The sequence below is a fragment of the Homo sapiens genome, chromosome 7, assembly GCF_000001405.40.
Source record: "Homo sapiens chromosome 7, GRCh38.p14 Primary Assembly".
NCBI lineage: Eukaryota > Metazoa > Chordata > Mammalia > Primates > Hominidae > Homo > Homo sapiens.
The window spans coordinates 16,289,022-16,303,527 of NC_000007.14; the positions used below are offsets into that span (position 1 = coordinate 16,289,022).

Consider the following 14,506-nt stretch of genomic DNA (forward strand, 5'->3'; position numbering starts at 1 on the left):
CATTATAACTGATACTACAGAAATACAGAGGATGATGAGAAATTATTATGAACAACTATATGCTGATAAATTGGAACACTTAGAGGAAGTTGTTAAATTCCAGGACACATACAACCTACCAAGATCGAAAGAGGAGGAAATAGAAAAACTTAACAGATGAATAATTATTAACGAGATTGAATCAGTAATAAAAAGTCTCTCAAGAACGAAAAGCCCAGGACCAGATAGATTCACTGTCGAGCTCTACCAAACATATCAAGAAGAACTGATACTAATCCTCCTCAAACTACTCCAGGAAATTGAAGAGAAGGAAATTCTTCCTAACTCATTATTTGAGGCAAGCATCACCCTGATACCAAAACCAGACAAGAATACAACATAAAAATAAAGCAGAGACACAAAACCCCCGAAGAAAACATTAGCAAACCAAATCTAGCAGCATATCAAAAGATAAAACACCACAGTCAAGTGGGATTTTTCCCAGGGATGCAAGATGGTTCAACATATGCAAATCCATAAATGTGATACATCACTATCAACAGAATAAAGGCCAAAAACCATATGATCCTCTTAATAGACATAGAAAAAGCATTTGATAAAATTCAGCATTCCTTTTTCACAAAAGCTCTCAACAAATAAGGTATAGAGAGACATACCTCAACACAATAAAAGCTATATGTGATAAACCCACAGCTAGCATTATACTGAATGGAGAAAAGCTGAAAGCCTTTCCTCTAAGAGGACAAGAAGAGGATGCCCACTTTCTCTACTCCTATCCACCACAGTACTGGAAGTCCTAGCCAGAACAATCAGGCAAGAGAAAGAAATAAAAGACATCCAAAATGGCAAAGAAATTAAATTGCTGTTCTATCATAGATGACATAATCTTATATTTAGAAAAACATAATGACTCCAACAAAAAAACTCTTAGAATTGATATTTAGTAAGGTTGCAGAAAACAAAATTCAACATACAAAAATCAGTCATATTTTCATATACAAATAACTAGCTGAAAAAGAAATCAGGAAAGCAATCCCTTTTACAATAGCTACAAAAAGTAAAATAAAATACCCAGGAGGCAAAGGCCTCTACAACAAAAACTACAAAACGCTAATGAAAGAAACTGAAGAGGACATTAAAAAATGGGAAGACATCCATGCTCATGAATCAAAAGAATATTGTTAAAATGACCACACTATATCCAAAGCAATCTACAGATTCAATACAATCCCTATCAAAATACCAATGATATCCTTCACAGAAATAGAAAAAAAAACCAATCCTGAAATGTGTATGGAACCACAATAGATCCCAAATAGCCAAAGCAATCCTGAAAAAAAAGAACAAAGCTAGATGCATCATACTAACCTGACTTCAAAATACACCAAAGCTATAGTAACCAAAACAGTACAGCATTAGTTTAAAACAGACACAGAAGACAATACAATGAAATAGAGAACCAAGAAATAAATCCACATATTTACAGTCAACTGATTTTCAACAAAGGTGCCAGGAATATACATGGGGAAAAGGACATACCTTTGACAAATGGGAAAACAGGACATCCACATGCAGAAGAAAGAAACTAAACTCCTATCTCTCATCATATACAAAAATAAACTCAAAATAGGTTAAAGATATAAATGTAAGATGCAAAACTATGAAAATAACTGGAAGAAAGCAGAGGAAATGCTTCAGGACATTGGTGTCAAAAAGCATTTTATGGCTAAGACTCCAAAAGCACGAACAAGAACAAAAATAGAGAAATAGTACTTACTAAAGGAAAAAGCTTCTGCACAGCAAAGAAAATCAACAGAGTAAGGAGACAATCTGTTGAATACAAGAAGATATTTGCAAACTTTCATTCAACAAGGTACTAATATTTAGCATATACAAGGAACTCAACAGCAAAAAAACAAGTAATCCCATTAATAAGTAGGCAAAGGACACGAATAGGCATTTCTTACAAGATGACACACAAACGGCCAACAGGTATATTAAAACAAATGTTCAACATCACTAATCCTCAGGAAAATGTAAATCAAAACCACATGAGTTATCAACTCACCCCAGTTACAGGGCTATTATCAAAAACACAAAAAATAACAAATGCTGCAAGAGGATGCAGAAGAGAGGGAACTCTTATACGCTGCTAGTGGAAATTTAAATTAGTACAAGACCTCTATGAAAAACAGTATGGAGATTTCTCAAAAAACTAAAAATATAACTACTATGCTACTCAGCATATCAAAGGAATATATGTACCCCAATGTTTGTTGCAGCACTCTTCATAATAGCCAATATACAAAATCAACCTAAGCATCTATCAATGGATGAATGAAGAAAATGTGGCATACTACACAATGGAATACTACTGAGTCATAAAAATGAATGAAATTCTGTCATTTGCAGTAACATGGATAGAACTGGAAGTCATTATTTTAAGTTATATAGGCCAGGAAGAGAAAGACAAATATTGCATGTTGTCACTCACATAATGAAAGATAAAGAAAACTGATTTCTTAAAGATAAAGAAGAGAATGATGACTAACAGAAGCTGGGAAGTGTAGTGGAGAAAGAAATAAAGGGAGGTTAGTGGGTACAAACATACAGTCAGATAGAAGAAATAAGTTTTAAGGTTCAATAGCCTAATAGGTTGACTATTCGTAGTTAACAATATATTGCATATTTTACAATAGCTAAAAGAGAGGACGTGAAATGTCCTCAAAGTAAAAAAAAAATGTTTGAGATGATTGATACCCTCAATACCCTGATTTGATTACACATTGTATCAAAGTACCCATAAATATGTATAAATACATACCAATTTTTAAAAATCAGATTTTCCTGAACTCTAATGCAATAGGCACATGCATTATTTTCTCCTTACTTCTGTTTGAGAATATAGATATACATACATTTACTTATTTCCATCTGGAAGTAGAAAATTTCAATTATGCACTTTATGGTAGATGAAACACGGTGGAAATGTACTTGTTACATGCCTCCCTAATCACGCAACATAATTCTCATTGACAGCTGCTTATCTAACACAACATTAGCCATTGTGTACCAAAATCAAAGTCATACATGTCTCTCATTTGCATAGTTATATTAATCAATTATGAGTTAACAATACTCTCTTAACCGTACTCTAAATCTGATGGCTACAGATATAGAACTTAAAAGTTTTGGCTGCTTCACTGGTCCACAATGTACTAGAGAAGACAATATCCTCAAATACCAAAGACAATTAGTATTTATTGAAGCACATATGATATTAATCCAGAACTTCTCAGGAGGTCAGTTGTCCTTTTGTGCAGGACTCTTCAATGCTATAGCTATGTACTATTAGGTCCAAGTGGAGGAAGTAAGAGAAGACACGGAGGCTTTTCCAAGCAAAATATCTTCCTCTTCCTCTACTTCTTTCAAGGAGTTGATGGTAGCACAGAGGGAGGAAGAATTAGAATTCAAGCCATCTCCCCTGAAGGGTGCATTAAGGAATACCTAGTTTGAAATTCTGAATGTCAGAGTTTTGACTATATCCATCCATCTGCCAGACTCCTTTTAAATTTTCTCAAATTTCAGTCCAGTTGTAAGTGCAACAGAATTTCTTCAGGGTTCAACTCCCTGATTAATGTTATTTGCAAACTAAATATAGCCACTTTTCATTTGAATACATGATTCAACAAAATGTAGTTATATATAATGTGGTTTCATAAATGTTCAATTCCAGTGTTATTCTAACTAAAATCTCTCATAAGCAAAATGATGTATAAATCTCAAAGTTCATAAAAGAGGCCAAAACCCAATCAGTAACACAAGTATCTTTAAAAAATTCCTTACTTTCCTTGAACATTGGATCTCTTGGTATATAGAAAGTATACTGTCCTCTATAGACAGAAAATGGATGTAATCAGGGGTCTTTTGATTTAATTTCACAAAACAGTAATACGTAAAGTTTCTAATACACACAGCTTCTGCTTTACCATATGACAGACCCACGACACATTAAGGAGCAAGGAATATGCATATGCCTGTATCAATTAATCACCTCTAGTAAGAATGGTATTTGTATTTTACAAGAAACTCAGTAACAATGGAAGAAAGGCAAACAAACACTAAGGTAGATCCTCAAGCAGGTGGGCAAAATATCGAGAAATCTGTCTCCAATTTTCTTGGAAACACTCAACACCATGCAATTCTTCCATCGAGCCTCATGGTCCACTGTACTGACCTCTTGAGTCAAAGTTAGATGTGCCTCCAGAAATAAGAAACATATCAAATCCAAAAGTAGCCATTTCCAAAAGATGTTTCAAGTTGTAACCATTCAAAGTAAGAGCAGTGGCTTCCATTATTCTATTGCATTCTTTGAATCAAAAGCCAATCTTAGAGTCTATTCTCTGTCTCACATGAAAGAATTTTAAAATAATATTAAAGAGAATCACCACTATTGAGTCCTGATATCTCTAAGTTTCATCTGTAAAGGATACTCAAGGTTTGTCTGAACACCTTGCAATAGGAAGCTATTAGACTAGGAAAAGGAAGGCAGGCAGTAAATAAAGGAAGGACAACCAACAAGGCATTACTACAATATAAATGGACGGAGACAACAAATAAAGACATGCAAGAAAACCATACACGCCCACACTGAAAGGTCAAAGTGGTCTTCTGAAAAGCTAACACAGAAGCTAACTGAGCATGTTTCAACTGGAGGACAATGGCACATAGGCAGATTTTTAAAAGACACTTAATATTATCAGATCTTAACCACATTTTTAAGTGAGTCACTGAATATAGGATGAAGTTTCCTACCTTAGAACTAAAAGTAAGGACCAGGCATGTGACATCTTGTCTCCGGCACATGTTTTTACATGTAAGTGGTATAGTCAAGCATATGACTGTTTTCTAACTAAATGATAGCTTTCTTTCCCCTTCTTTCTTGCCTATTAAACTCCCTGCTCCTTAAAACTATTCCACGTGTGTCCATGTCATTTTTTCTAATTCAACTCAAAATGAAAAGCCTGGTGTTCTCTACTCATCAGAGCTGTATCAATACCATACTTTTTTTTTCTTTTCAAAGTATATATTCTCTAAGTTAGTTGAGAGAAAAGTTAGAAGGAAAAGCAAAGTTCCAAGGTTGGTGACTCATGAGGATATTTACCAAATGTACTATTTGCTTTGAGCATAAATATCATCATTTGGGTTTTTTTGGGTTTTTTTTAACTACCTACATCAGAGTGAAGTGTCAGTGGCTGGCTTTTGTCTGATATCAAGTCTTATTTAACTAGTTGCTTAATACCTCAATGTGACCTTCAAAAGCGACAGATTTACTTGTATATGCTTAAATTACTATTTTGCTGACAACAAATTAAGGAAATGGTAAAACTAAAACAAGTGAACTCTACTTTTCCTAATCCTGACCCAAATATTGAACTTTCCAATTTACTTTTTTTTTTACAGTAAGATTTCAAGGGGAACAAACTGCTCTTAAATCCTGTTGCTGCCTTCCTGCTTTTACTAATTCAAGTTTGACACAAATGTTCTCACAGATTCACAAAACATACAGTCACAGTATTCTTTGAGAGAGTGAAGAACAAAAAATATTATGTATAAAGAAGTTATGGTGTTATTCTGAAAATTCGGAAAATTAAGTGTCATACTCAAAGCCAGAAACATCAAAACTTGGGGTTACTATATACATAATCTTAGCTGTCACTTTGCATTGTCCAAAACACATGACTAACAACATAAATGGTGTTATCCCTGGGTATTTAACAAGAAAAAGCCTGATGAGAACATACCACAGATGCGGAATGTTGTCTGGTCACAGATGTGGAAAACCTGATTTAAAGTTCCTCATCTTTCCAACTTGATCCAAGGGATTCAAAAACAAACAATCTTGCACTTCAAATGCCATAATTTTAAGTAAAAAAGTTAAAGGATCGCTAAGAAATCAAGGGACTAGTTTCTGCATATGCATAAAACACACTCCAACACAGTATTCCTAGTTCTCAGCAATTCTGAACCAAAGGTATTCTCATGTGATTTTATTCATTGCAGTCAATGCCAATTAAAAGTATATTTAGCTACTTTCAATGTATAAATATAAAAGAATTTAACTGCTCTTCTATCGGTATAGTTTTTCAGAAACAAATAAAATATGGCATGAGGATAACTTGACAGTTGCTAAGTACTTATTGAAAGAAATCTACCGGTATCACTTATCTGAATAAGATGTAAGTTTCTGAACCAACAAGAATTTCAGAGAAAATCAATTCAATTTCCTTAAAATACCTAACAAATGGAAAATATTACATAATAACTGGAAAAAAGATTAACTAAAGCCAGTTAAAACCAAAAGGGATGAAATGGATTTCCAATTTTACCTATTTTTCCTCTTTTTTAATACACACAACCATATATGAAAACAGGCACCATGAGGCAGTTTTGTAGCACAAGTTTACTTGGGTTTGTACAAGTATAACCAAGAAAGAATAAAATAAAATGTTAAAAGTACTCTTTAGCCACAATATTGAATATATTAAGTAGATGAAGAATGGAGGTAGAAAATAAATGCAATAGTTTATTTAGAAATTCCACTGGGGCTTTTCTTAGAAACTCTTAGAATACTGACCTTCATGCCAGGATATGGTCAGCATACTAAATCAAGTGTGGGTTGGAACCGTTTGTATGGCTTATGCAAATCTATATAAAGTATGTTACCACTGGCATCTGTTACCACTTTAATCATTTGGGTTCATCTGAGCATGCAGAGCAGACTTGGGTGGGCTCAACCAGCTTGGGCAACAAAACTACAATACCTCTTTGTTAAGTGGATATTTACAAACTTATCAGTCAGTCCAGTGTCTTGTTGTACCAATTAATCATACTACTCCGTAGAAAATTGTTTTAAATTTCACTCACAGTAGAAGCCTGAATGAGTTAAACATTAAAGAACAACAACCAAATCCAACCCTCTGCCTAAGAAAAGGGATTATGACGAATACTTTTTTATACAGTTTTAACAAATTTGTAATTAATTATATTTTAATAGACTCTGAAAGACAAATGAAACTACCACTTTCTATACATGTTTCTTCAAATAGTTTACCATAAATGAAAATACATATAAACACACTGATGCTAAAATAAATTAAGCTTTAAAATTACCTAAAAACATAAGATAAAAATCAGATTTGGAGACTTGCTATCTACCACAATTTGGAGATTCTAGTCAAAAGCATGCCTTGAAGTTAGCAAACCTACACCAAATACCAATGAAAGAATATTCGTTTTTCTCCTAACATCAAAATTCCCATACTAAACCAAAGATGTTGACTTGAACATAAATTAAGATGGACCAAAACACACAGGCTACTTTGGTGACAAGTAAATTTTGGAGTACAAAATGTTCTTGCAAAACATGAGACATGATATTTATCCTAGAAATGTTTTCTAGCACCTGAAAACAAACTAAGTAAACAACAAAATAGTTACTTTAATAGAATACAATTTGTTGACCAGGAATAACTGTTATTTGAGAGAAAAAACAGCTCAGGAAGGACACTTAAAAAAAAACAAACATGAAGCACTCATCACAGAACAAAAAAAGTTCCATCCTAGAAAGGAAATCTGTTATGTCTAGATAATGAACATCAACTACCAGAACTAACAACAACAGAAAAAAAACAATTAAACAGTACCCCAAATCATTTTAAAACAATTATTTTGATTTGGAATTTTATTATTTTTTCTGAGCATGTCTAGAAATCTGTCATTACAACATTATATGCTTTTCACACACCTGTGATGCCAGTAACAAACACTTTCTAGAAGACTGTACTATGTGCTTAGGAAAACACTGGGAGAGAAAATTTTCTGTCTTACTTATAGGATTATTCTTCATCACACCAGCTGAAGGTATAGTTTTCAACTCAGAGGAATCAGAGCTAGGCAAGCTGAGCTTTATAAACCACTGATGTACTCACCCAAGAGAGAGCTCTTGAATCCAGCATCTGCTTTAGCAGGCAGCAGGAGTAGCTATGTGAATCAGAGGTACAAAATGGACATATCCTAGAGTCGAGTCAAACTTAAAGACAATGTAGACCTGAGCTTAAATAATGGATCTTGCTCTTACCAACCGTGTGACCCAGAGGAAAGTAACCTAGGTCAGGTTTCCCAACTGCAAAATGAGAGCAATGTATATATCTTACAGCGTTATTGTAAAGAATAAGTGAGATAACATATAAGGCACCTAGCATGAGTCCAATGTCCTCCAAGTCTTGGTTTTAAATCTTGACAAAGAATGCTCAAATACTATACCATTTCTATGTTTTAAAAGGAAAAAAACAATGATATAGTGATAGATATTCTAGTTCCCTATAAGCATGTGTCAGGAGCAGGGAGAGTGGTAAGGCAGGAGAGAAGGGCCATAAATTCCCTTAGATTCTAGGGAAAAACTGCAGCTGCATCTGTTAGCCTATTATGCAATTCAATTCAACTAAATGTTAGGGGATGCAACATAAAAATTAGACATTCTTTCCACCTTCATTGAATCACAATCTAAAACAGGTAATACAGTGTTGCAGGCAATGCTGAAATCCAAAAAGTTCTTAAAACCATAATAAACAATTGTTTTTATATAAATTTGCAGGCAAAATCAGTCCTGAACTTGAACTGGCTTAGAAGCTCTATAGCCTTTATTACTGCATTTAGCATAAACATTTATGCATCTTAAATTTCACCTTGTGGTAGGATACAAAATCCCACCTTTGGGTTTGTACTGGAACTCTACCACTGGCTTTCCTGGGCCTCCAGCTTGCAGCTGGCAGATCGTGGGACTTAGCCTCCATCATCACATGAGCCAATCCCTCAAAATAAATCTATGTATACATCCTATCTATATCTCTGTATATCCTGCTGGTTCTGTTTCTCTAAATAACCCTGATTAATACACTAGGAAAATGCCTACAGGTAAATATACAGCTCTCATAGTATGCTATATGCTCTGTTATATTTTGGAATTTTTTTTTAATCCAAGAGTTCTCTCTTTCCTATGCCCAGAGAGGCATTTCTACTATCAGAGACAATTTGAATACAAGTCATAAATGGAGGGGGTAAACTCAGGTGAGCAAACAAGCATTTGCAGCTGGGAGAGCATCGTAAGACTTAAAGCTCTTAATGCAATAAAGATATTATAACATGTGATGTACTGCAGTAGCTTCTAGAAGTACAAATTATTCCAAATTCTAAGACATATATAGCCCAAAGGTTTCAGATAAGGGAATTTGTACAATCTCTATTTAAGGGAGGGAAAAAAAGGAATAGAAATATAAAAAGATCAAACTGCCTAAGGCAGAGACTTGTGGTTAACATTCTCTTTCCCAAGTCAGCATTTGCTTTAGAACTCTCAAATACCCTATTATATGGAAACAATAACACTACTATAATACAACATCAAGTTCTTGAAGAAATAAGAGATAGAGATAAAATACATAAAATGCTTCAAATAATGCCCAGCACAAAGTAAGTGCCCAATTAATGCTGTGTAATAGTAATAGTGCCTAGGAAAATACTTTGAACATGGTTAATTTTGTGTCATAAATTATGTGTCATAAAAATGGTTAATTTTATGTGTCAATTACATCTGGCTAAGGGATCCCCAATTAGCTGGTAAAACATTATTATTGAGTGTGCCTATGAGGGTGTTTCCAGAACAGATTAACATTTCCATTGGAAGACTTAGAAGATCATCCTCACTGAAGTGTGGGAGCATCATCCAATCCACTGAGGTCCTGAACAGAACAAAAAGGCAAAGGAAAGGCAGATTCTCCCTTCTAAAGCAGAGACAGGTTCTGGGTCTTCTTGGGACTCCGACTGGGATTTACACCCTTGACTTCCCTTGTTCTCAGGCCTTTGGGTTTGTACTGGAACTCTACCACTGGCTTTCCTGGGCCTCCAGCTTACAGCTGGCAGATCGTGGGACTTAGCCTCCATCATCACGTGAGCCAATCCCTCATAATAAATCTATGTATGCATCTTATCTATATCTCTGTACATCCTACTGGTTCTGTTTCTCTAAACAACCCTGATTAATACACTAGGAAAATGCCTACAGGTAAATATACAGCTCTCATAGTAGGCTATATACTATATTACACTTTGGAATTTTTTTTAATCCAAGAGTTCTCTCTTTCCTATGCCCAGAGAGGCATTTCTACTATCAGAGATAGCCTTGAGTACAAGTCATAAATGGAAGGGGTAATCTCAGGTGAGCAAACAAGCATTTGCAGCTGGGAGAGCATCGTAAGACTTAAAGCTCTTAATGCAATAAAGATATTATTTAGAAATAAACCTATAAAAGACTGAGGAGCAGCCTAGAGGAAGATGTCTGGAATTTAATGTACAAACTAATCAACCAGAGCTCCTGTTAAAATGTATATTCTGACTGAATGAGGTGGGGCCTGAGATTCTAGTCCTCAGGTAATCACAATGCTGCTGGTCTAGAGCATTTACTGAGAGTAGAAAGGCCCCAGAGCAGTGATCCTCAAAGTGTACCAGAAGCATCAGAATCTCCTGGGAAGTTATTAGATATACAAACCCTAAAATATAAGGAAACTAAAAGTTTGTTGACCTAAATGAGCTGTTTACACTAGGCAGGTCAGATTTATCTTTCCTAAGAATAAAAGTAGAACATGTTTTAAATACTTAAAAAATAAAAGTAGCAGACCAGAACCTATTACATAGACAAAAGCCATTTCTGCAAACAATTTCCAAAGTCATAGCCCCTGCAATAACACTTGCAGTATAGGTTTTTACATTTTTAAGAAGCCTCTGATAATATATAGGCCAAGTATTACAATTATATTCCTCAGTCGAACTACCAATTGTTGACAAAAAAAAAGTCATTGCTATTTTCCTACGTAGTACATACAAAGCTCTGTGAAGAAACCAAACTGAGTTTTATATTTCCTTGTGTTGAGGACACGACCGACCACATCATCATTCAGCCGACTTTTCCAGAGTAATGTTTACACATTGCTTGGTTGATATGTAAATATGTCAAGATTTTGATTTATAGCTATAAATGGTCTGTTTACATACACACAAACAGATGCATAAGTTATAGTACATTAATAGTTTAAAACAACATATCCTTGAAGGACAAAGAACTTGAGGGTAAACAACAAATACATTGTCATGATCAGAGAAAAGATTTTCATTTTCTGAATGTGAAGTCTGTTGATGGTTAAATAGGGTTTCCCAAAATTTTTTAATAAATTGATGCACTCAGAATGCAGGTTCAGTACATTTTTCTACTTCGAAAAAAGTTTGAATTTGGAAGTTGACCTCTCAATGAAAACCTGAGCATGTAGTTCTAGCCATAATCTATCCTCAAAGAAATCAGTTACTAACACACTGTAAAGCATCACATGTGTTTCAGGATTGGGGTGAACATCTCCGATTTTGCTAGGAGTCCATATTTTAAAATAGTGGTTCTCTATCAGTGGAGATGTTTTTATCCCTAGGGAACATTTGGCAATATCAGGAAACATCTTTGACTGTCAAAACCAGGGGAAGGGGAGTGAGGGATGGGTACTTCCAGCAGCTTGTGAGCAGAGGCCAGGCGTGCTGCTAAACAACTTGTAATGCACAAAACAGTCCACACAGCTTAGAATTTTCCAGACTAAAATGCCAATATAGTGCCAAGACTGAGAAAGCTGACTTAAATAACAGGCTACAAAAATACAGAAAGACTGTCCCTAATGCATCTTAATTACATTCCTTGCACAGTGTTAAGCAAAATAACAAATGCTTGTTGCTTATTAAATAAACTACCTCTATTTAGCTGGGATCTTTGAGTCGGAGATGAAAAAGAACTAAAAAAGAGTTATCACACATATGATATCTACAATTACAAAATTGCAGTCATTGTCAGAACCCAAAAGAAATTTTAAAAATCACCCTGTCCAGCCTAATTTCTCCAGTTAGGAAAAACAATGTTTCTCACATGGAAGATGCTATCTAATGTACCGACACGACACTGTTAAGGGGAGAGGGCAGTCCTCTTAATAGTAAAAATGAGGTGAGACCTTTACAAAATTATTAAAATCAGGTTTTGCTATTTTCCTTCTAATAGTATCAATGTCCCATACTTCCCTCAAGTTAATAAAGTATTTCCTGTATAAAAATTAAAATCAATGTGGTATCATAGTAACTGCTATTTCTCTAGCATGAAACACATAAAATGTAATTATTTTCAAAAAACAAATCAGAGACCTTGGCCTACAGGCTTTTCTGCTTTTGAGATTGCTGGGATTTAAACTGTCATGAGAAATTCCGAACTGGCTTACATTTTTGAAACACAGGAACTGACAGTCATAAGGCCAAACATACCCTTAATAATCGATTCAGCCGCATAGAGATCTCGTTTGTAGGTCACCTAAAGGACAGATAAACTTCATTAGACTTAACAGAGCAGGAAGGAATGTGCAAGCAATAAAATAATGCCCCCAAGGAAATTCTTGATTTTTCAGAAGCTATAAACATGTAATACTGACATTTTCTCAATTAGAAAAGCATCAGCAAATTCACATAAAATATATTCTATTTCTACAAATGGCTGATTTGTTTTTAAATCTTTGAATAAATTAAGATATTATGTGGCAGTTGTTACCGAAATCTTAATGTAACTCAAGTATTATACTTAAAGAAAATGTGGTAGCATTTAAACAACAGTATTAACATGACTGCATAAAAACGAGGTTTTATACTAGAGAAAAAAAGGTAGGGTGGAAGTCTCTGTATAACAAAAAAGTCACTGAGTTACATTCTTAGCTGAAATAATTCTGAAAGGTCAATTTATGTTAAGAGGGACTTCCTTCTGAATTACATATATCCGTATGAACCTAGATAAGATTCACCTTGTAAGATTTTTATTAAAAATGTGGCTAAAATAGAAAGAGCCTATAGGGTACCACTATGTGTCTAAGAACAATGATGATCTTTCCTTAAAAATATGCAACCTCTTGGGAGGCCAAGGCAGGCGGATCACGAGGTCAGGAGATCGAGACCATCTTAGATAACACGGTGAAACCCCGTCTCTACTAAAAATACAAAAAATTAGCCAGGCGCGGTGGCGGGCGCCTGTAGTCCCAGCTACTCGGGAGGCTGAGGCAGGAGAATGGCGTGAACCCGGGAGGCGGAGCTTGCAGTGTGCCGAGATTGCGCCACTGCACTCCAGCCTGGGCTACAGAGCGAGACTCTGTCTCAAAAAAAAAAAAAAAAAAAAAAAAAATGCAACCTCCTCATAATTGTAATCTGTTCCTTGTAATGTAACCTGCCAACATGGCATGTGTCTGTCCTATGGCAGATACTTCACAGACCCCCATCCAGTGAGCTCAGGTACAGAAAATGTAAGTGCATTGTGTTGCAGAATTAATTCTATATCACAGAGCTGAAATACATAGTAAATAATGACACAGTATAAATAAGCTTTTATAAGGTCTTAAAAGCTACATTCAAGCACCTAGATATTTATGATGCAAGTGTTCTAAAAACCCACTTTGAGAAATTCCTACCATATTATTACCTCACCATGCCTAAACTCAGCTGAAATAGCACACAGAAGCACAATCAAATAAAAGAGAGAAAAAATGAGCTGAACTAGGTGAGTGCCAGGTGTTGGGTTGGAATTTCACCCACACAGAACCTTTCCTCTTCTTCAGGTGGCCCCTGAGGCTCTAGTGAGCACAGTCTGAAAACCAGCAAATTAGAGGATTGAAGTTCTTTCTCATCACTACAGGACTGATTTTTTTAAGTAATTTTTCATTATAGAGTGTTGTGCAAGGTCAAAGGAAGACTACTGATCATGCTAACAGAACGAAAGGAACTTCAATACTCATTGTCAGGGTGTTGGGTTTTTTTAATTAAAATAAGGACAACCCATATTGCTGTAAAAGTTAGATGGAAAAAATGAATAACCCATCAATTGAGAATTACAACATTTTCCAGTCATACTGCTTTTGAAGTACGTTAGCTATGTAGGAAAAAAATAAGGCTAAAAGTACTTTAAAATTCACTAGTTTTGGTTGGCATGTGCTTGTTTTAGAAATACTATAGCATTTCACATTTTAATAGATTGGTTGAATTGCTTGAACAACTTTTTATCTGTGTTATCAAGTTAGCTGCTACTTTATTTCTGGATAGTAAGGTATAGTTTTGGTCCAGGATTTACCTGCCAGGATAAAGGAATAGCAGAGGAATCTAATTTGGATAGAAGTGCAGTAGCCCACTTCACTAAACAAAGTTTCTGTACAAATCTAGTAGTTAGCTAATCTGGAGGATAAAAATTCCAATTTCATAGGCACGGTAAGGTAATAATACGGTGGGAATTTCTCATTCCTATCACGTCTACATGTTGTTCTTGTTTCTGTGTTGAGACATAAAATAGTAAAAAAAAAAAAAAAAAAAAAAAAAACTTTCAGAACACAGCCAGTTGGCC

At 35.0% G+C, this 14,506-nt stretch overlaps 1 protein-coding gene across 4 annotated transcripts in view, besides 1 other annotated feature; it reads right to left on the reverse strand.

Moving 5' to 3' along the window:
- The window catches only part of CRPPA (CDP-L-ribitol pyrophosphorylase A), a 334,014-nt gene that overhangs the window by 201,497 nt on the left and 118,011 nt on the right, over positions 1-14,506 (reverse strand). For 3 of the 4 annotated variants that reach the window (NM_001101417.4, NM_001368197.1, NM_001101426.4), the window contains one exon: positions 12,400-12,445. The exons of the other annotated variant lie outside the window; for it this stretch is intronic. In NM_001101417.4, coding sequence (NP_001094887.1) covers positions 12,400-12,445 — 46 coding nt within the window. The remainder of the gene's footprint in view (positions 1-12,399; positions 12,446-14,506) is intronic. 4 annotated transcript variants of the gene reach the window in all.
- Positions 11,410-11,610: a silencer, noted in NCBI's record as "peak6411 fragment used in MPRA reporter construct". NCBI's record gives its function as "represses an SCP1 promoter by STARR-seq MPRAs in K562 erythroleukemia cells {active_cell/tissue: K562}" and the evidence as "EXISTENCE:reporter gene assay evidence [ECO:0000049][PMID:32103011]".